The following is a 22844-nucleotide window of genomic DNA, read 5'->3' as shown; positions in this document are numbered from 1 at the left end:
GGAGGCCAGCAAGCAGGGTTTGGGTACATTGGCTTCTTCCTGCCTCAGCCCTGGCCCCAAGTCCCTGTCTTCCTTTCCAGTTCAGGCATCCCTGAATCAGTTTCTTTTTACTCAGGAATTATTTTTATGAATTATCTAATTAAGTTTGAGTTAGTTATTGTGTGGTCTGTATTGTGTCCTCAGACATAAATGGGCCTAATGGACAAATCCCTGTCTTTCTTCCTCAGCGTTCTAGGAGATGCTTTCCTCATTTCTCCTTATTTCATAAGAAACCTCACTTCCCAAGACAGAGTTGTTGTGACGGCCATGCTGGGGCAGGTGGGTGCTCTCTATTAACTCTCCCCATGGCTGAGTTCCTCAGGGAGGGCCTCTGGGATGCAGGTTCTGATTTCTGTGCCAATCTCTCATCAGCATCATAAGGAGGGTCCTCTTCAGGTAGGTGTTAATCCTGGTTCTTCAGGAATCACATTGTAGTCTTATCTCTAATTTAGATTTTCCTCCAGTATCCCAGATCTAGGGAATAGTGGATCCATTCCCATTTGTGGTCATTGCTATTTTGTCTCCTCACATTTCTTTCTTATCTATTCTCTCCCTGATTCATTCCCACCAAAACTGATGGACACTCACCCCACTGAACTGGTTGTGGGAGAGGACAAGCCAATGAGGATAACCAGCTTTTCCCCAGGGCATATGCCCAGCCGTTCTGGATTGAAGCACTGTTGCTATAAGTAATCTCTGAAACACCTCTAGAGACCCCTTCCCTCTACACATCTCTGGGAAAGAAAATCACACTGTATTACTCCCAAGGATTTTCCTCACCAACATTAAATGGAAATCAACTCACTTGATAGTGTCCTGCAAGATTGAGGAGCTTTTCCATCAGCCACATCTGCTTTCTTTTTGCCTCTGCTATGCCTTGTGGCTGAGCATCTCTAGTTTCCTGGGATGGTAGGAGATGATGTTGGGCCTGTCCACTGACAGCAACCTTGAAGTTCAATGCCTGTGACTGCAAGGACTTCTTTTCTCTGTGAGGAGAGTTGGCTCCCTGGACCTGTGTAGCCCTTTACAATCTCCTCCCAAACATACCTGTTGATCTGGAGCTGGGCAACTCCAAGATCTTTTAGTGACCAGGCTGGCAGCATATGTGAGCATGGGTGGATATACCTGAGAGATGGCTCTGGGAGATTATCTTAGTGTCAGGAGACAAGGGTGGTGGGGACAGTGGTAAACTGGTATGTGTATACCACAACAAATAAAGGAAGTTCTTTATCACTTAAGTCATCTGTAGACTGTGAGAATGTGGACCCAGTGTTGCCAGATATTTTCTAATTAACAAAAAAGAAGGTATACATTTGAAAGGAAGAAGGAAGAAAGGAAAAAAGGAAAGAAATAAGGGACATTATTATAGACCTTATAAGATACAAACTATATCCATAAAATTATATCAACAAAAATAGACAATTTAAATATACCTATAACAAGTGAAGTGATTAAAATAGTAATAAAATATTACCCACAAAGTAAAATATAGGTCTAGACTATTGGATTCTATCCATTTTTTTAAAAGGAGAGTTTGTACAAACTCTTCCAAAACACAGAAGAGGAGAGAATATTTCCCAACTAATTTTATAAGGCCTGCTTTACCATGATACAAAAACCAGAGAAAGACATCACAAGAACAAAAAGCTACAGAAAATTATCTCCTGAATACAGATGCAAAAATCGTTAATAAATATTAACAAACCAAATCTAGCAGCATATTAAAAATATACATTATAACTTAGTGAGATTTACCCCAAGAATGCACAGTTGATTAAACATCCTGAAATAATATATCACATCAATGGAATGAAAAACAAAAATCAAATGATCATACAAATAGATATACAGAAAAAGCATTTGACCAAATCTAACACATTTTTATAATAAAAACAATGAACAATCTGGGAGAAGAAGCAACATTTCTCAACCTGATAAAGGGCATCTCTGAATAACCCACTGCTGCTATTATACTTAATAGTTAAAGCCTGAATACTTTTCCAGAAATATCAGAGACAATACGAAGATGCCTGCTCTCACCCATTCTATTCAACATTGTATGGAAATTGTGGCCAGGGCAATAAAGCAAGATAAAAATACAAAAAGCATCCAGTGAATGTCATCCTTAATAGGGACAGATGAATGTTTCCTCTTATTATGGGGAACAATGCAAGAACAACAGTTCTCACAGATCTTATTCAACAGGGTGCTAGAAGTTCTAACCAGGGCAAAAAGGCAAGAAAAGAGTAAAGTCATACGGATTAAAAATGATACAATTTAAAAAGAATAAAATTCTTCCCATTTGCAGATAACATAATTGTATATACATAAAATCCCAAGAACCTACCAAAAAAAAAAAACCATGAAAGCTTGTAAGTTCACAAAGTTTGCAAGCTACAAGATAAACATAAGTAATTAATTTCTATATTACAGAAATACACATATGCAGACATAATTTAAAAATAGAATATTAATTACAATTGCTCAATAATAAATTGTTAGGTAGAAATCTAACAAAACATGCACAGAACTTGTTTGATGAAAACTACAAAACACAGATGAAAGAAGTCAAAAAATCTATTAAGAAATGAAGAGCTATAACATGTTTGTGTATTAAAGATTCAAAAATATATTAAAGATGTAAATTTATCACAAATAAATAGCTTTGATACAATTCCTATTATAAACCCAGCAATATTTTATAAATATAAAAGTTATAAAATTTACATTATAAGCAATAATTTCCATATTTGCATTTTAAATATGTTACAATTAACTCATAAAAACTTCAACATCAGTCAGGTTGGTTTTTACACTCACAAAATACTTCCTACTTGATGTTCCATAACTTTAATTTGAAAAGCACGTCCATCTATCTATGCCAGTATGGTAGAGTTTGAGATAGAGGCCCAGCTTGAAAAGTTGAGAAGTAACTGATTATTTAGAACAGAAAAGCAGTAAATAATGGCTAACTCATTTGAATGTCCTTTTACTTATTGCCATGTGTCACTGATTAGAAAGAGAGCTTTATTATAAATTAAAATAATTATGACACATGGCAAGTATGATCTCATGAAAGTTGTAATGTAAGTCATTGTAGAGAAAAGAAGAGTCTTCATCCATTAATAACACCTTTAGCACAATAATATACAAGTATAGCTAAAAGATATAGGGACACATTTTATTGCTATCATAGTACATTACTTCCTGGGCTTAACTGTCCCATAGAAAAATTATTTTAAATGCAAACTAGCTAACGTCCAGATGGCTGATATTGAAATGAAAAGCAATTAATCTTTTCTAATGGTCTAAAATAAGTAATGACTCCAAAAGTATTCCTTGATTAACACAGTGTTTGAAAATATCATGTAATAAGCAAAACTGAAAAGATGCCCTTTTTTCTTTTTTTTAAGACAGGATCTCACTCTATTGCCCAAGCTGGAATGCAGTGGCTCAATCTTGGCTCACTGCAAACTCTAACTCCCAGACTCAAATGATCCTCCCGCCTCAGTCTCCTGAAGGATTCACTGTTATTCATTCAATGTCATTAAGTTCCTCAGTAAAACAGTAAACACTAAAAAAATCTAGTATGTTTCCTAACCAGATAACTTTTTCCAAAATATAAGACCTCAAACAGGAAGAAATCTTAAAATACGGAACATGTCAATGTTCATATTTGAATAATATAAACTTCATCATATCAGAGGAATTTCTCACTCTTGTCTCCCTTTCTATCTGTGGAAGTATTAAAAGTATGTATACACACTTTTAAGTTTGGAATTAATATACAGTATCAATATATTACATTGGTATATGCGCAGGCTTGTTATACAGGTAAACTCATGTCATTTTTTTTTTTTGGACAGATTATTTTGTCACACAGGTATTAAGCCCTAATACCCATTAGTTATTTTTTTCTGATACATTTAACAATGAAATAAAAATAGGCCACGAAAGAATTTGGTAATATAGAAGATGGCCGAATAGGAGCAGCTCCAATCTACAGCTCCCAGCGTGAGCGATGCAGAAGACGGGTGATTTCTGCATTTCCAACTGAGGTACTGGGTTCCTCTCACCGGGAATTGCCAGATAGTGGGTGCAGGACAGTGGGTGCAGCACACCGTGCCTGAGCCGAAGCAGGGTGAGGCATCACCTCACCCGGGAAGCACAAGGGGTCAGGGAATTCCCTTTCCTAGTCAAAGAAAGGGATGACAGACGGCACCTGGAAAATCGGGTCACTCCCACCCTAATACTGCACTTTTCCAATGGACTTAACAAACGGCACACCAGGAGATTATATCCCACACATGGCTTGGAGGGTCCTACGCTCACGGAGCCTCGCTCATTTGCTAGCACAGCAGTCTGAGATCAAACTGCAAGGCAGCAGCTAGGATGGGGGAGGGGTGCCCACCATTGCTCAGGCTTGAGTAGGTAAACAAAGTGGCCCTGAAGCTCGAACTGGGTGGAGCCCACCACAGCTCAAGGAGGCCTGCCTGCTTCTGTAGGCTCCACCTCTGGGGGCAGGGCACAGACAAACAAAAGACAGCAATAACCTCTGCAGACTTAAATGTCCCTGTCTGACAGCTTTGAAGAGAGTAGTGGTTGTCCTAGCACGCAGCGTGAGATCCGAGAATGGGCAGACTGCCTTCTCAAGTGGGTTCCTGACCCCCGAGTAGCCTAACTGGGAGGCACCCCCCAGTAGGGGCAGACTGACACCTCACATGGCTGGGTACTCCTCTGAGACCAAACTTCCAGAGGAACCATCAGGCAGCAGCATTTGCGGTTCCCCAATATCCGCTGTTCTGCAGCCACCGCTGCTGATACCCAGGCAAACGGAGTCTGGAGTGGATCTCCAGTAAACTCCAGAAGACCTGAAGGTGAGGGTCCTGACAATTAGAAGGAAAACTAACAAAGAGAAAGGACATCCACACCAAAAACCCAACTGTATGTCACCATCATCAAAGACCAAAGGTAGATAAAACCACAAAGATGGGGAAAAAACAGAGCAGAAAAACCAGAAACTCTAAAAATCAGAGCACCTCTTCTCCTCCAAAGGAATGCAGCCCCTCACCAGCAACAGAACAAAGCTGGACGGAGAATGACTTTGACAAGTTGAGAGAGGAAGGCTTCAGAAAATCAAACTACTCCAAGCTAAAGGAGGAAGTTTGAACCAATGGCAAAGAAGTTAAAAACTTTGAAAAAAAATTAGACAAATGGATAACTAGAATAACCAATGCAGAGAAGGCCTTAAAGGACCTGACAGAGCTGAAAACCATGGCATGAGAACTATGTGATGAATGCACAAGCCTCAGTAACCGATGGGATCAACTGGAAGAAAGGGTATCAGTGATGGAAGAAGAAATGAATGAAATGAAGGTTGAAGAGAAGTTTAAAGAAAAAAGAATAAAAAGAAATGAACAAAGCCTCCAAGAAATATGGGACTATGTGAAAAGACCAAATCTATGTCTGATTGGTGTACCTGAAAGTGACGGGGAGAATGGAACCAAGTTGGAAAACACTCTGCAGGATATTATCCAGGAGAATTTCCCCAATCTAGCAAGGCAGGCCAACATTCAAATTCAGGAAATACAGAGAACGCCACAAAGATACTCCTCGAGAAGAGCAACTCCAAGACACATAATTGTCAGACTCACCAAAGTTGAAATGAAGGAAAAAATGTTAAGGGCAGCCAGAGAGAAAGGTCGGGTTACCCACAAAGGGAAATCTATCAGACTAACAGCGGATCTCTCGGCAGAAACTCTACAAGCCAGAAGAGAGTGGGGGCCAATATTCAACATTCTTAAAGAAAGAATTTTCAACCCAGCATTTCATATCCAGCCAAACTAAGCTTCATAAGTGAAGGAGAAATAAAATACTTTACAGACAAGCAAATGCTGAGAGATTCTGTCACCACCAGGCCTGCCCTAAAAGAGCTCCTGAAGGAAGCACTAAACATGGAAAGGAACAACTGGTACCAGCCACTGCAAAAACACGCCAAATTGTAAAGTCCATCGAGGTTAGGAAGAAACTGCATCGACTGACGAGCAAAATAAGCAAAATAGTATTGTTATGTGTGAATAAGGATCAAATTCACACATAACAATACTAATCTTAAATGTAAATAGGCTAAATGCTCCAATTAAAAGACAGACTGGCAAACTGGATAAAGAGTCAAGATCCATCAGTGTGCGGTATTCAGGAAACCCATCTCATATGCAGAGACACACATAGGCTTAAAATAAAGGGATGGAGGAAAATCTACCAAGCAAATGGAAAACAAAAAAAGGCAGGGGTTGCAATCCTAGTCTCTGATAAAACAGACTTTTAAACCACAAAGATCAAAAGAGACAAAGAAGGCCATTACATAATGGTGAAGAGATCGATTCAACAAGAACTGACTATCCTAAATATATATGCACCCAATACAGGAGCATCCAGATTCATAAAGCAGGTCCTTAGTGAACCATAAAGAGACTTAGACTCCCACACAATAATAATGGGAGACTTAAACACCCCACTGTCAACATTATACAGATCAACGAGACAAAGTTAAAAAGGATATCCAGGAATTGAACTCAGCTCTGCACCAAGCGGACCTAATAGACATCTACAGAACTCTCCACCCCAAATCAACAGAATATACATTCATTTCAGCACCACACCACACCTATTCCAAAATTGACCACATAGTTGGAAGTAAAGCACTCCTCAGCAAATGTAAAAGAACAGAAAATATAACAAACTGTCTCTCAGACCACAGTGCAATCAAACTAGAACTCAGGATTAAGAAATTCACTCAAAACTGCTCAACTACATGGAAACTGAACAACCTGCTCCTGAATGACTACTGGGTACATATCGAAATGAAGGCAGAAATAAAGATGTTCTTTGAAACCAACAAAAACAAAGACACAACATACCAGAATCTCTGGGACACATTCAAAGCAGTGTGTAGAGGGAAATTTATAGCACTAAATGCCCACAAGAGAAAGCAGGAAAGATCTAAAATTCACACCCTAACAACACAATTAAAAGAACCAGAGAAGCAAGAGCAAACACATTCAAAAGCTAGCAGAAGGCAAGAAATAACTAAGATCAGAGCAGAACTGAAGGAAATAGAGACACAAAAAACCCTTCAAAAAATCAATGAATCCAGGAGCTTGTTTTTTGAAAAGATCAACAAAATTGATAGACCACTAGCAAGACTAATAAAGAAGAAAAGAGAGAAGAATCAAATAGACTCAATAAAAAATGACAAAGGGGGTATCACCACTGATCCCACAGAAATACAAACTACCATCAGAGAATACTACAAACACCTCTATACAAATAAACTAGAAAATCTCGAAGAAATGGATAAATTCCTCAACACATACACTCTCCCAAGACTAAACGAGGAAGAAGTTGAATCTCTGAATAGACCAATAACAGGCTCTGAAATTCAGGCAATAATTAATAGCTTACCAACCAAAAAAAGTCCACGACCAGATGGATTCACAGCCGAATTCTACCAGAGGTACAAGGAGGAGCTGGTACCATTCCTTCTGAAACTATTCCAATCAATATAAAAAGAGGGAAGCCTCCCTAACTCATTTTATGAGGCCAGCATCATCCTGATACCAAAGCCTGGCAGAGACACAACAAAAAAGAGAATTTTAGACCAATGTCCTTGATGAACATTGATGCAAAAATCCTCAATAAAATACTGGCAAACCAAATCCAGCAACACATCAAAAAGCTTATCCACCATGATTAAGTGGGCTTCATCCCTGGGATGCAAGTCTGGTTCAACATACACAAATCAATAAATGTAATCCAGCATATAAACAAACTAAAGACGAAAACCACATGATTATCTCAATAGATGCAGAAAAGGCCTTTGACAAAATTCAACAGCCCTTCATGCTAAAAACTCTCAATAAATTAGGTATTGATGGGATGTATCTCAAAATAATAAGAGCTATCTATGACAAACCTACAGCCAAAATCATACTGAATGGACAAAAACTGGAAGCATTCCTTTTGAAAACTGGCACAAGACAGGGATGCCCTCTCTCACCACTCCTATTCAACATAGTGTTGGAAGTTCTGGACAGGGTAATCAGGAAGGAGAAGGAAATAAACAGCATTCAATTAAGAGTAAGTTAAATTATCCCTGTTTGCAGATGACATGATTGTATAACTAGAGAACCCCATCGCCTCAGCCCAAAATCTCCTTAAGCTGATAAGCAACTTCAGAAAAGTCTCAGGATACAAAATCAGTGTGCAAAAATCACAAGCATTCTTATACACCAATAACAGACAAACAGAGAGCCAAATCATGACTGAACTCCCATTCACAGTTGCTTCAAAGAGAATAAAATACCTAGGAATCCAACTTACAAGGGATGTGAAGCACCTCTTCAAGGAGAATTACAAACCACTGCTCAAGGAAATAAAAGAGGATACAAACAAATGGAAGAACATTCCATGCTCATGGGTAGGAAGAATCAACATCATGAAAATGGCCATACTGCCCAAGGTAATTTATAGATTCAATGCTATCCCCATCAAGCTACCAATGACTTTCTTCACTGAATTGGAAAAAACTACCTTAAAGTTCATCTGGAACCAAAAAAGAGCGCGCATCACCAAGTCAATCCTAAGCCAAAAGAACAAAGCTGGAGGCATCACGCTACGTGACTTCAAACTATACTACAAGGCTACAGTAACCAAAACAGCATGGTACTGGTACCAAAACAGAGATGTAGATCAATGGAACAGAACAGAGCCCTCAGAAATAATGCCACATATCTACAACTATCTGATCTTTGACAAAGCTGACAAAAACAAGCAATGGGGAAAGGATTCCCTATTAAATAAATGGTGCTGGGAAAACTGGCTAGCCATATGTAGAAAGCTTAAGCTAGATCCCTTCCTTACACCTTACACAAAAATTAATTCAAGATGGAATAAAGACTTACATGTTAGACCTAAAACCATAAAAACCCTACAAGAAAACCTAGGCAATACCATTCAAGACATAGGCATAGGGTAAGGACTTCATGTCTAAAACACCAAAAGCAATGGCAACAAAAGCCAAAATGGACAAATGGGATCTAATTAAACTAAAGGGCTTCTGCACAGCAAAATAAACCACCATCAGAGTGAACAGGCAACCTACAGAATGGGAGAAAATTTTTGCAACCTACTCATCTGACAAAGGGCTAATATCCAGAATCTACAATGAACTCCAACAAATTTACAAGAAAAAAACAAACAACCCCATCAAAAAGTGGGTGAAGGACATGAACAGACACTTCTCAAAAGAAGACATTTATGCAGCCAAAAAACACATGAAAAAATGCTCACCATCACTGGCCATCAGAGAAATGCAAATCAAAACCACAATGAGATACCATCTCACACCAGTTAGAATGGTGATCATTAAAAAGTCAGGAAACAACAGGTGCTGGAGAGGATGTGGAGAAATAGGAACACTTTTACACTGTTGGTGGGACTGTAAACTAGTTCAACCATTGTGGAAGACAGTGTGGTGATTCCTCAGGGATCTAGAACTAGATATACCATTTGACCCAGCCATCTCATTACTGGGTATATACCCAAAGGATTATAAATCATTCTACTATAAAGACACATGCACACATATGTTTATTGCAGCACTATTCACAATGGCAAAGACTTGGAACCAACCCAAATGTCCAACAATGATAGACTGGATTAAGAAAATGTGGCACATATACACCATGGAATACTATGCAGCCATAAAAAATGATGAGTTCATGTCTTTTGTAGGGACATGGATGAAGCTGGAAACCATTATTCTCAGTAAACTATCGGAAGGACAAAAAACCAAACACCACATGTTCTCACCCATAGGTGGGAATTGAACAATGAGAACACGTGGACACAGGAAGGGGAACATCACACACTGGGGACTGTTGTGGGGTGGGGGGAGTGGGGAGGGATAGCATTAGGAGATATACCTAATGCTGAAAGACGAGTTAATGGGTGCAGCACACCAACATGGCACATGTATACATATGTAACAATCCTGCATGTTGTGCACAGGTACCCTAAGACTTTAAGTGTAATAATAATAATAATAAAAAGGAATTTGGTAACATATTAAGGTGTGAGTGCATGTTGGGTTTTTAATATATTTTATTTTTGTATTCTCCATTATTGTATCTGTAGTAGAAGTTTACCCTAATTTAAACTAATTACAAACTATTTAAATAATTATAAATGGCAACAGCTATTATCAGAATCAGCCGATTCACCATGAAGACTTCAATATTGAAAACTGTCAAACTCATTTATGATTTATGTACAATGACATTGAAATCTATATAATATGTTTTGAAGTTTATAAGGTAATAATTGCTAGAATTGTAATAGATGATATTAAGATTCTGGTCGTTTTTTTTCCCTAATACAAAGCCAGTAATACCTATCTAATATAGTTATTTAAAATTTAAACATGTATTTACCAAGGCCATAAAAACTGGTCAAAAATATTAGTTTTTTAACGTATTATATCAATTTTAAATAAAATGCATGATAAAATATAAAACATTTACAGTAGTGCTGAATAAATTCACAAACTAAGAAAAATACATTTCAAAAAACTAGATGAAGAAAACTCAGAACACAATATTCACCTCTAAATAAAGCTAAATGTAATTATTTCTTACATAAACTGTCCTACATTGTTCAAAGTTCCTCTGAGTATGTGGTAACCTTACAAAACATGGAAATATATTTACTTAAATACAAAGTAATCTGAAGAAAATCATATGTGAGCAAATGAGAAAATGAAGAAAATTGAAATGATGTGGGAAGAAAGGTCTAGAAACAATCCTTAGGCAATTCTTACACTGACCAAAAATTACCTGTATGCTGTGAACTGTGTGCTTTGTCGTTTGTAGAAATTACATATATAACATCAAAAAAGCACAAAAATAAGATGCAATTCAATTTAAGTAAACTAAGAAATTAGGATTTATGATATAGATAGATAGATAGATAGATAGATAGATACATAGGTAAATACATAGAAATACCATGAATATGGATAGGTAAGTGTGTACAAATAAGTATTTCCAGGCAGCAAAGGAATAATAAATATTGGGGAAGTATAAGATATTTTAAAGTTCTGAACAAAGTAAAATTTACTGTTAAAATTCTAGGAGAGATTTTTCGTTTAGCTGATTTTTTAAAAGGTGTGTTGAGTGCTAAATCCCCAGAAAACAAAAATGTCTTTTTGCAGACAGATTTTCAAGAATATGCTGATGAGAGAACACTATGTAGGTTTTTTGAACATCTTACACTTTCTTAGAGAGCCTGTCTTCAAGATATTAGAACCTCCTCTCATCTAACCCAAATCATAGATGACTCATCTGCTTACATCTTCACTGTCTTTCAGTTCTCACCACAAAGACACTTCCTTGGCATGTCTTTCCTTATCCTCTCCGATGAAATTCAGTTCTTCATGCATGCTTTATGTTTGTTTGGCCATTCATTTTCTTAAGTGCATCATTATGTGCATTTAGACATCTCATTTTCTCACTGTATTTAAATGAGTGCCAATATTTCTTCTGGACTGTAAGCATGAGGGCAGCATTTTACCATTCTCATATCTGTCATATCTGATCCTCTGTACGTAGCATAATTATTGGCACATAGATGTTTCATAATATTTACTTGATTAACACATAAAATAAAAAATTGCATTTCCTGAACATCACTTTATGAATATTTGTTCACATAGTTTGACCATTTCTTTTTTTTTGTTTGATTGTTTGTTTGTTTTTTGAGACCAAGTCTGGCTCTGTGGCCCAGGCTGGAGTGCAGTGGCACCTTGGCTCACTGCAATCGCCACCTCCTAGGCTCAAGCCATCCTCCCACCTCAGCCTCCCAAGTAACAGGGACTACAGGTGCATGCCACCATGCCTGGCTAATTTTTGTATTTTTGTAGAGATGTGATTTTGCCATGTTACCCAGGCTGATCTTGAACCCCTGGGGTCAGGTGATCTGTCCACCTCAGTCTCCCACAGTGCTGGGATTACAGGCCTGAGCCACCGTGCCTGGCTCACCATTTCTGTTGAGCTCTTTGTTTTCTTATTATTGGGCTTTGAGAATTCTTTGTTATTATAGATAGAAGTATGTTCCTAATATGTGATTTGCAAGTATTTTGTCCCAATCTGGGGCTTGTCCTTTTATGCTTTTTGTAGTATCTTATAAAGAACAAAGATTCCTAATTTTGGAAATCTAATACATCTTTATTTTTATTTTGTATGTTCTCTTTTGGTGCTTTATCTAATACATCTTTACTTCAAATTATAAATATCATGTTTTTATGTAATCTTTGTAAGTATACATGTATATTTAGTTTTATCTTTCATTTTTAGTTTTTTATCTGTAAAATATGAAGTTTATTCATATATTGGCTATCCAATGTTTCAGCATCATTTGTTTAGAAGCTTTTCTCTATTTTCTTCATGAAATTGCTTTGCAGATTTGTAGAAAATCAAGAGGCAATACATATCTGTGGGTCAATTTCTGTATCCTCTACTCTGTTCCATAGATCTATTGTCTATCTTTTTGCCGGTACTACACTGTCTTTCATACTGCAACTTTATCCTAGGTCTTGAAATCAGGCAGAGTCAGTCCTCTGACTTTGTTTTTCTCCTTCAATCTAGTGTTGGCTATTCTGGATCTTTTGTTTCTCTCTATAAATTTTGGAATGTTTATCAATATCCACAAAATAACTTGTTGGGATTTTGATTGGGATTGTAACAAATCTACAATCATATTGTGAAGAACTGACATCTTGACAATATGAATCTTTCTACTTATGTACATATACTACCTCTCCATTTATTTATATCTTCTATTTCTTACATCAGAGTTTTGCAGTTTTCCTCATACAGATCTTGCACATATTTTGTTTGACTTATACGAAAGATTTCCTTTTTTTGGTGTAAGTTTAAATGATATTATGTTTTAAATTTCAAATACCAATTTTTCATCGTGGGTATATAAGAAAGCAATTGACTTTTGTATATTGGTTTTATGTATTCCAACCTTGTTATAATTGCCTTTTAGTTCCAAGAGTTCCTTGGTTGATTCTTAGGAATTTTCTATGTAGACAATTGTAGCATCTGTAAATAAAGACAGTTTTACTTCTGCCTGTCAAACATGTATACTGGTTGTCCTTTAATTATTGCAATATCCAAGAATTCAAGTACAATGTTAAAGAAGATTGGTGAAAATACACATCCTTCCTGCCTTTACCCCATCTTAGTGGGAAAGGATCTAGTTTCTCACCATTAAGTATCACGTTAGCTGTAGGTGTTTCACAAATGTTCTTTATCAAGTTGAAGAACTTCCCCCTTTATATCTAGTTTTCTGAGAGTTGTCATCATGAATGAGTATGGGAATTTGTCAAAGGGTGTTTCTGCGTCTCTTGATATGATTATGTGACTTTCCTTCATTAGCTTGTTGATTTATATTTGAATTTTTAAGCTATCTTGAATACTTGAAACAAATTTCATTTGTTCACTGCTGTGGTATGGATGTGGTCTGTTTTTGCCAAAACTCATGTTGAAATTTAATTGCAAATGTAGCAGTATTGATAGGTAGTGAGTTTTTAAAGAAGGTTTTGGTTCATGGGAGATCTGCTGTCAAGAATAATAATAAAATAAAAAAAAGAAAAAATTTATTCCAAGGGTATGATTCAACAGAAATAAACAAGTAAAAAAAAAAAAAAAAAAAAAGAATGGATTAATGCAGCTCTCACAGACTGGATTAGTTCTCATGGTACTGGGTTGGTTCTTATGACAGAATGTTGTTATAAAGCAGTCCTGCCTCTTGAATTTGGTCTTTTTGCCAAGGCTAGTTTCCCAGCCACTTCTCCACCATGTTATGATACAGCTAGAGGCCCTCACCAGAAGCCAAGCGAATGCTGGCACCATGCTTCTTGGGCTTCCCAGCCTCCAGAATCATAAGCCAAATAAGCAACTTTTCTTTATAAACAACCGAGTCTCAGGTATTCTGTTCTAGTAGCACAAAACAGACGAACAGTCATGGTTTATAAATTGTTTATACAATATTGGATTCTATTTGCTATTATCTTATTGAGAATTTTTACATCTATTTTCATGAGATAGATTGATTCTTTCCTCTAATATCTCTCTCTGGCTATGGTATTAGAGTAATGCTGGTTCATAGAATGAGTTAGGAAGTATTCCCCCATCTCCATTTCCTGAAAGAAATTGTAGAGAATCAGAATGAGTTCTTCCTGAAATGTTTGTTAGAATTCTCCAATGAGCTTCTTTGGGCTTGATTCTTTTTCGTTTGTTTTTGAAGGTTATCGATGATTGATTGAATTTTTAATAGATATAAGCCTATGCCGTTTCTTTACGGTTACTTGTGTGAGTCTTGGTAGATGTGTCCTTCAAGGAATTAGTCCATTTCATCTAAGTTATAAAATATGGGGCATAGAGTTGTTCATAATATCCCTTTATTATCCTTGTAATGTCAGTAATTTATGTTTTTTTCCTTTTTTATATAAATTTAAATTCATTTTTTTCTTTTCATTCTGAATTATCTTGTTGTGCCTCTTTGCATTTATCATTATGTTGTGCTTTATTTCAAATGGCAGCAATTGTGAAGTTTTGTTTATTGGATATTTTAAAATTTCTATACATATTCTTGAGGTTTATTCTGTGATGAAATTAAGCTACTTGAAAACAATTTGATCTTTTGGAGTCTTAATTTTTAAACATGGCTAAGTGAGACCAGCACAGTGTTTAGTTTGGGTGTTAAAATTTCCCCCATTACTGGGTAATCTTTCAGGTGTCCTATGAATTATAAGGTTTACCCCCCTCTGGCCTATGAGAATAGGACTAATCCCTTTCCTATGTGAGCACTGATGATTTTCCTTCTAACTGTTACAAAAACTTATTTCTTAGACCTCCTTTAGTTTCCAACGCACTGTTCATGTGTTGATTAGGATGCAGCTGAATAGACAAGGATGGACTTTGTAAATCTCCAGAGCTGTCTCTAGTATACTGCTCTACCCATTCTAGGCACTTTAGGATCCTGAGCTCCTGACTTGTCTTCTCAATTAACAGCTTCTGCCTGACTTTTCCCTGATTCTTCCTCCTAATGCCTTGGCCTGGAAATTCTCTTTGGGCAGTATACTGAGGCAATTATAGTTATTAACTTATTTTTTCATATCTCAGGGTTCAGGCTGTTGTCCTATATCTTGAGAACTTTTGTTTCATAAATTTGTCCATTATGTTAGTGGTTTCAGATTGGAAAGCACAGCTGGTATCTCTTCTTGGCAGAGACCAAATGTCAGTAGTATGAATCTGTTTCAGTGTTATGTTGCATATACAGGCCAGAAAAATCCACTGAGATGCATTTAGCTCGTGAGAAGAATTAATTGGTTTATGAATTCCAGGAAGGAGTTGAATACAGCTTCAAGTAAGGATACAAATTCTCCTGAGCCTCAGGGACACTTAAACTTTAAACAGCCTCTTTGTTTTCTCTAATTTCTACTTAATTCTATGTTCTAATATCATTCTCTCTCACTGTCTTAAAAAAATCAATCTTAATATTCAGAGAAGTTTACCATTGGTATCACAGCTTTTCTGCTTTTTCTTCATGCTTTTTCCATGTAAAGCTTGCAACCTGCAATTTCATTGTCTGTTTTAATTTTTATCACGCATATATATAACATTATTTTTACTTTCCTATTTCCTGAGGCACAGAAATCCAAATAACACATATATAAATCATGACAAAATGGAAACTATCTAGCAGTACTCTGGAAATATTTCAAGATTATGTAGACTAACGCAGACATAGAGACTAAAGATTTATTGAAAATAAATTTGAAAATCAAAGACACTGCATTAATTTTCATTAGTTTCATGTTCGAAAGTCAGTGATGTTTTTGTTTTTCATCTGATAGTAATATAGGGATGACTATTAAGTGAGTTAGTCACTAAATCAGGAAGAGAGTTTTTGAGGGAGGAAAGATGGGGATCACTTTTTGAAAGGAAGTAATTTATTATATCCTTGGCTACATTTCATTCAATCATATGCAAGAAATTTAGCTACCTAAAAAGCTCTTTCTAGAAAAACTAAATTTAAGTTTTAAATTTAAAAAGAAATTTTGACAAGTTAGATAATTATACACTTCCATGGTTGTTATTTTTTAGATGGTAGTCTTCTATATGATCAGATAATGGGGATCTCAGGTGTAATGAAGGATAAAGAGAAACAAAACACAATAATGTTTATTTAATGTATTTACTATAAAACTTGTTTTCATGACAAGAAGGCAGTTTAGTTGGCCAGGAATGTTTCTAATGTTTCTTACATGCAAGTTGCTCTTATAATAAGATAATTGATTTATTAACATATGGAACATACATTGTAAGCATAGTAAATGTCAGGCCATAAACTAGGCTTTTGAAATATAATTCTCTATGAAAGTATTTCAATTTCCTCAGGTGTTAGCAATCTCTAGGCAGTAATATGTATTTAAGTAAGTAAAGTTAATGATCAGTGATAAGTAACAGAATGGAGAAAAAGTAGGAGTCATCAGCTCCAGTTGGGATTTTCTCAGGAACTATAGTTGGGCTTGCATTATGAAGAGTGGAGGGGATCATAAAGCTGATGGATATGAGAGAAGCTTAGAAACTATAGATAATAGTATAAAGAAGTGAGAGCAGATGATATTCTTGTGTAATTATAACTCAATGTATATCAAATTTACCATTCATGGAAGGATGCATTGGTTGATGAGGTTAGATAGGCTGGGACCAGAAGCAGAAAGACTATTTCTATAACAGTTAAGTCTTTGGAGATAAGCTTTGAATCAATTGAGAACTACAGCAAGATTTAAGGAGAGATGTAATATAATTTATGGGATACTATTTTCTCCTAGTTAAAGATATAATGTTACCAATAATTATTTTTGGTTTTCCAGAACAAAAATGTTTTTGCATGTTAATCTCTCTCATGTTAATATTACTGAGTCATCAACTCTTTCATTTCATTATTTTTATCAAATTAATAGAAAATACAGAAATTGTGAATTAAAATGGAGATAGAAATAATCATGGGCATCATAGCTTTTAAAATTTTGATCTAGATAATTTTAATGCTGCATATTTCTGCCTGTTGTTCCTCAAATGACAACTTATCTGTTTTTTCCTTAGACAATTTGAGGGAAATGCAGAAGTTTGTTATTATTTATGTAATCATTTGATTATTGCCTTTTTAATGACACCCACTGAGTTTGATTAAACTTTTATCAAACTTTAGTTTTGCAATATATGGAGTCTAATTATCAAAAGGCATGTTTTATTATGTTTAATTTCTTATCGTGAAAAGTTGGGGGATACTGTGGCAGGGTCTTCTGAATTTCTACTCATTGGCTAGCTTTACAAATTCAATTTTGATAATTAAATTAAATTGTGGTCCCTACTGTTTGAAAACCTCTGAATTGCAGCAGGCCAGATGCTATTGCCTGATTAGATAGTGAGATATTTTAATCACCAGCTGTAGCATTATAAACCTGCTCTTTTAATACTTTCCTTTAAGTTCTCCATCTGCTTTCAGCATCTGGTCAGTTTTGCCTAGGTTGTCATTTTATTTCATTTCTACTTTGTTATTCCACATATAGAAAGGATTAAATGGAACTTCTATATTGCATTTATAACCAAATAAGATATACCATTATTCTTAATTTTAGCACACATTAACTAATAATTGTAGTAATACTCATGTTTCTATACAGTTTTCACTGTCAACACACATTTGGTACATAATATGGATCAATAATGTATTATACATAATAGAACAATATTCACTAGAAAACTAATTAATATGATTGCTTAAGATGGAAGTCCAACTTGCCCCTTCAAAAGGATGTCTTAATAAAATAACCTTGCCAAATTGTCTTTCATACATTTTAGATTACTATTGCATATAGAAAATGAAGTTAAAAGAGCCTTCATCTTTTACACATAGAATCCTTAAAAATAGGAAATGAAAGTATATAGTCAGTATGAGAAATGCCAGTTTCCTAGGTATGTGAGAAAACTGCTATTTGAAAGCTGTAGCTTTTGAATAAATTTTGGTAGGAGCAAAAAGAACAATAACAACACAAACAAAGGAGTATTTTAAAAGCATTAAAATTTGGATTTGATTTAAAAAGGCATTACAATTTGTATTTGGAGCAATTTTAACTGAGTTGCAACCAACATAGCAATAAAGTGATCAGATCAGGACATAGCTAACATGGGCTTCACTTCGTGTTTAGAGCTGATGGGAAATGAAGTGAAAGCGAGAATTTCATCAGAACTGAAAGATGTTTCCTAGTCATTACTTTTGCATTATTTTTTTTCTAATGAGAATGAGGCTAGAACGAATGTCAGCATGAACCTGCAATTAAAATAATATGTCACCTATTTCTGATGGATGATAGGATATATTAAAGAAATTGTACCTAACTCACACCAGTGTGTGTGATGAGCACTTAGTATCTACTATTTTTGACATATTTATAACACCCCAAATTAATGAAGAACTCCTTATAACATAAAGAAAAGATCCCTGAAAAAAAGAACACAAGTTATATCTTTAGCAAAATCCTCTTATATTGGTTGGGTCGATCATGATTGACTATGACAGCCTTTGATGCCAGAACCATTGCTAAGTCTTAAATACTTAACATACTATAAATCTAGGAATTGGTTATTTTATTTATGAACTTTGTTGTTTTAAACCAAGTTTAAATTACTTAATCCAAAAATGGTGCATGTAAATACAACAAGAAAAATTAAAATTAGTCTTTAATCAAACTAAAATGATATATTTGAGTGTACTCTTTTACTACTGGTAGTGATAGATAATACTTGCGGACAAAGTATTTATTTTTTTAATCAGACAGATTGAGTCATTTCTCCATCCAACATTTATTGATTTTAGCAAAGGCAAATACAAAAACAAATAAGCCAAATACTAATGGACTTTAATTGTGAAATGGCAGATTTAAGAAAATAATCTGTAAATTAGGAAAGTTAATTGATTAATCCAGATATTGATCTTAGGTATGTTATGTAAAACAAGGATAATTATTATAATGGTCAACATGAGGCAAAAAGGCAAAAGAAGGTTAAAAACACATTTAGTAATTATAACTAGATTTTGACGATGTTTATTAGAAACACCAGGTTTGTTTTTTTAGCTTCAGGGAAATAACACTATATCCTAAATATTCTTTCTTCAAAAATAAGCCATTTTACACAAATCATTGCTTAAAAAGCTCTTGCTACTATCCACTTTCCTCAAGAATGTGACTCCTTTTATTTCTTGTAAAAATCCACAATAAGAAAGAAACCAAAGCTATATTCCAATATGCAATAATAAATATGATATAAATTATACATTAGATGTTTTTCATACTACATTGTGCAAAATGTGCTCCTGTATCATTTTTTTTTCTGCAAATGAATAAATTTAGAAATGCTTAAACTATCTATTGATAGCTATTACATTTTCTCAAGATATTTGGAATATGTTTTGTGAGTCTTTTGAATAGCCTTCATAGAAAAAACTAGAAACTGCAATTCCTGATGATATGTTTTCATAAGCTGAAATACCTATTATTATTCATGGTACTGGAATTACTGTCTATTTTTATTACATTTCCAGAAACAAAAGGTGATTTGCAAACAAAATTATTAAAAGAGACAATTTTAATACCAGTATGTTGCAGAGAATACAAAAGAAAGATAAATTATTAAGATGTGCAAATCTTTTAAGAAAAGATACGACATGCAGGCAGGTATGCACCTATCTAGGAAATCAAACACATGCTGTTGAGACTATTTTTTAAATTTACAATAAGCGTTATTTTAAGGTATTTTATTTTGATTTTTTGGTACTTAGCTGCTGAACTTCTCATATATATATAATACCAACTGGAGAAAATTTTGACAACAAATATATATATGAGGAAATCACTCTTCACTATCATACTATACTCTACATGTTCCTTGCTGAAACCGAAGAAAGCAGGTAGCTATTTTCATAAAGAGTTCAATCACCTTCAGTATTACTCGGGATTCAAAACAGACTTCTCATAGTTCACCAGTTAATCTGCAGGGGATCTGGCAAAAGTTAGAAATCAGTGGATCCTGCTGAGACTTGCTGAAGAACTCTATGGATGAGAGCTCATGCAATAAGCAGCATGACAGCTGGATTAGTGCCATTTGTAAAAATGGTAACTTTGATATATGTGATATAGGCACAGGTAGAGATTGATACGTTGACTTAGATATTGAGTAAAATTACCAAGAAATTCAAAAAGCTTGATGTTAATTTAGGTCAAGCCCTTTAAAACAACCATATCTTCTGTTCTGAGTCAATATTTATTTGGCTCATTATTTAAAAAAATCAGAATTTAAATTTAATTAAAATCTATTTTGACAGAGGTAAATGTTAAACAATTTTAAAAAAAATCTTACTTGATCACTCATGGATACTCATATCAAAAAAGAGGGGGTCTTTTAAAAATAATGAAATCAGGCAACACTTTTATAATTTCATTTATGTCTGTACGTCTTGAATGGTTGATTGACAGAGGAAAGTATTCCTTTTGCAATGATTAGCCATACCCTTGAAAAAAACTCCTAGAAGGTATAAAACACACATTACCAAAAATAAATAATTCAGTTGTATGTGTTTTTCTTATTATTCTTCCCTTACTCATTTCAATTGAGAGACAATAGTAGAATCATTTTGGTAAAAGCTACTCTGCAGCCACATAAGGGCCTTATCAACACTGTCTTTGTCCTGAATAAACCCACGAGAAACTTTAATGCAGTGTTTTGTCATCACAGACCAAAACTCCCACCTTAGAGAACTATCTTCCTCTCAGCACGTTGTCCTCAATGTTTTATTATTATTATTATTTATTATTATTATTATACTTTAAGTTCTGGGATACATGTGCAGAACGTGCAAGTTCATTACATAGATACACGCGTATCATGGTGGTTTGCTGCACCCATCAACCCGTCATCTACATTAGTTATTTCTCCTAATGCTATGCCTCCCCTAGCCCCCCCACCCCCTGACAGGCACTGGTGTGTGATGCTCCCCTCCCTGTGTCCATGTGTTCTCATTGTTCAACTCCCATTTGTGAGTGAGAACAGGGGGTGTTTGGTTTTCTGTTCCTGTGTTAGTTTGCTGAGAATGATGGTTTCCAGCTTCATCCATGTCCCTACAAAGGACATTAATTCATCCTTTTTATATGACTTCATAGTATTCCATGGTGTATATGTGTCACATTTTCTTTATCCAGTCTATCATTGATGAACATTTGGGTTGGATCCAAATCTTTGCTATTGTGAACAGTGCTGCAATAAACACACGTGTGCAAGTGTCTTTATAGTAGAATGATTTATAAAACTTTGGGTATATACCCAGTAATAAGATTGCTGGGTCAAATGGTATTTCTGGTTCTAGATCCTTGAGGAATTGCCACACTGTCTTACCCAATGGTTGAACTAATTTACACTCCCAACAGTGTAAAAGCGTTCTTATTTCTCCACATCCTCTCCAGCTTCTGTTGTTTCCTGACTTTTTAGTGATCGACATTCTAACTGGCATGAGATGGTATCTCCTTGTGGTTTTGATTTGCCTTTCTCTAATGGCCAGTGATTATAAACCTTCTTTCGTATGTTTGTTGGCTGCATAAATGTCTTCTTTTGAGAAGTGTCTGTTCATATTCTTCTCCCACTTTTTGATGGGGATGTATTTTTTTTCTTGTAAATTTGTTTAAGTTCCTTGTAGATTCTGATTATTAGCCCTTTGTCAGATGGATAGATTGCAAACATTTTCTCCCGTTCTGTAGGTTGCCTGTTCACTTTGATGACAGTTTCTTTTGCTGTGCAGAAGCTCTTTAGTTTAATTAGATCCCATTTGTCAATTTCAGCTTTTGTTGCCAAAATTAGTCGTGAAGTCTTTGCCCATGCCTATGTCCTGAATGGTACTGCCTAGGCTTTCTTCTAGGGTTTTTATGGTTTTTGGTCTTACGTTTAAGCCTTTAATTCATCTTGAGTTATTTTTTTATAAGGTGTAACGAAGGGGTCCAGTTTCAGTTTTCTGCATATGGCCGGTTATTTTCTTTTATTTGCAACCCACAGGCAAAAGTGGTTTCTTTTTAGCAAACCTCTATTATTTTTATTGTTTTCCTTCAGATGAGTTGGCTTCAGAAAAGCTTGTTTATTTTAGGATTTACTGAAAGCTGCATGATTAGCTAACACAGACTTTATGACATTTTCCTGCTTCAACTACTTTTGCAGGCCGAGTAGATGCAAGATCTGCATCTTGGTGTACTATAGATTACAGATTCACAGCTGTTTCACTAACATGTAGTAAGGATTTCCAGTTTCAGTTTGCAAGGGTATAGGGTAGCGTTGGGAGTTGGGGAGTGTGGAAAATCCTTACTACCCTTTGTTCTACCCCCTTAGTTTACTTTATTCAAATTTCAAGATCTCTTATTGTCAATCTTTATTTCCCTTTGTTTATCAAATTCTGAATCAGTTTAAATGCCTTTGCTTGCAAGTAATGGTTCATGTAAATAAAGAATTCGTGTGAGGCCAGGCTTGGTGGCTCATGCCTGTAATCCCAGCACTTTGAGAGGTGGAGGCAGGCAGATCACCTGAGGTCAGGAGTTCGAGACCAGCCTGGCCAACATGGTGAAACCTCGT

The 22844-nt window shown here is 35.4% G+C and overlaps 1 annotated feature.

Annotated features, from left to right (window-relative positions):
* Positions 346-515: an enhancer, noted in NCBI's record as "experimental_107948 CRE fragment used in MPRA reporter constructs". NCBI's record gives its function as "activates a minimal promoter by MPRAs in K562 erythroleukemia cells, with activity observed for both the introgressed and non-introgressed 9:31164665 variant alleles {active_cell/tissue: K562}" and the evidence as "EXISTENCE:reporter gene assay evidence [ECO:0000049][PMID:34662402]".

Source organism: Homo sapiens, chromosome 9, assembly GCF_000001405.40.
Source record: "Homo sapiens chromosome 9, GRCh38.p14 Primary Assembly".
In the NCBI taxonomy this organism is placed as follows: Eukaryota; Metazoa; Chordata; class Mammalia; order Primates; family Hominidae; genus Homo; species Homo sapiens.
Note: the sequence above shows the minus strand (reverse complement) of the source record. Positions and strands in the feature narration are given on the sequence as shown.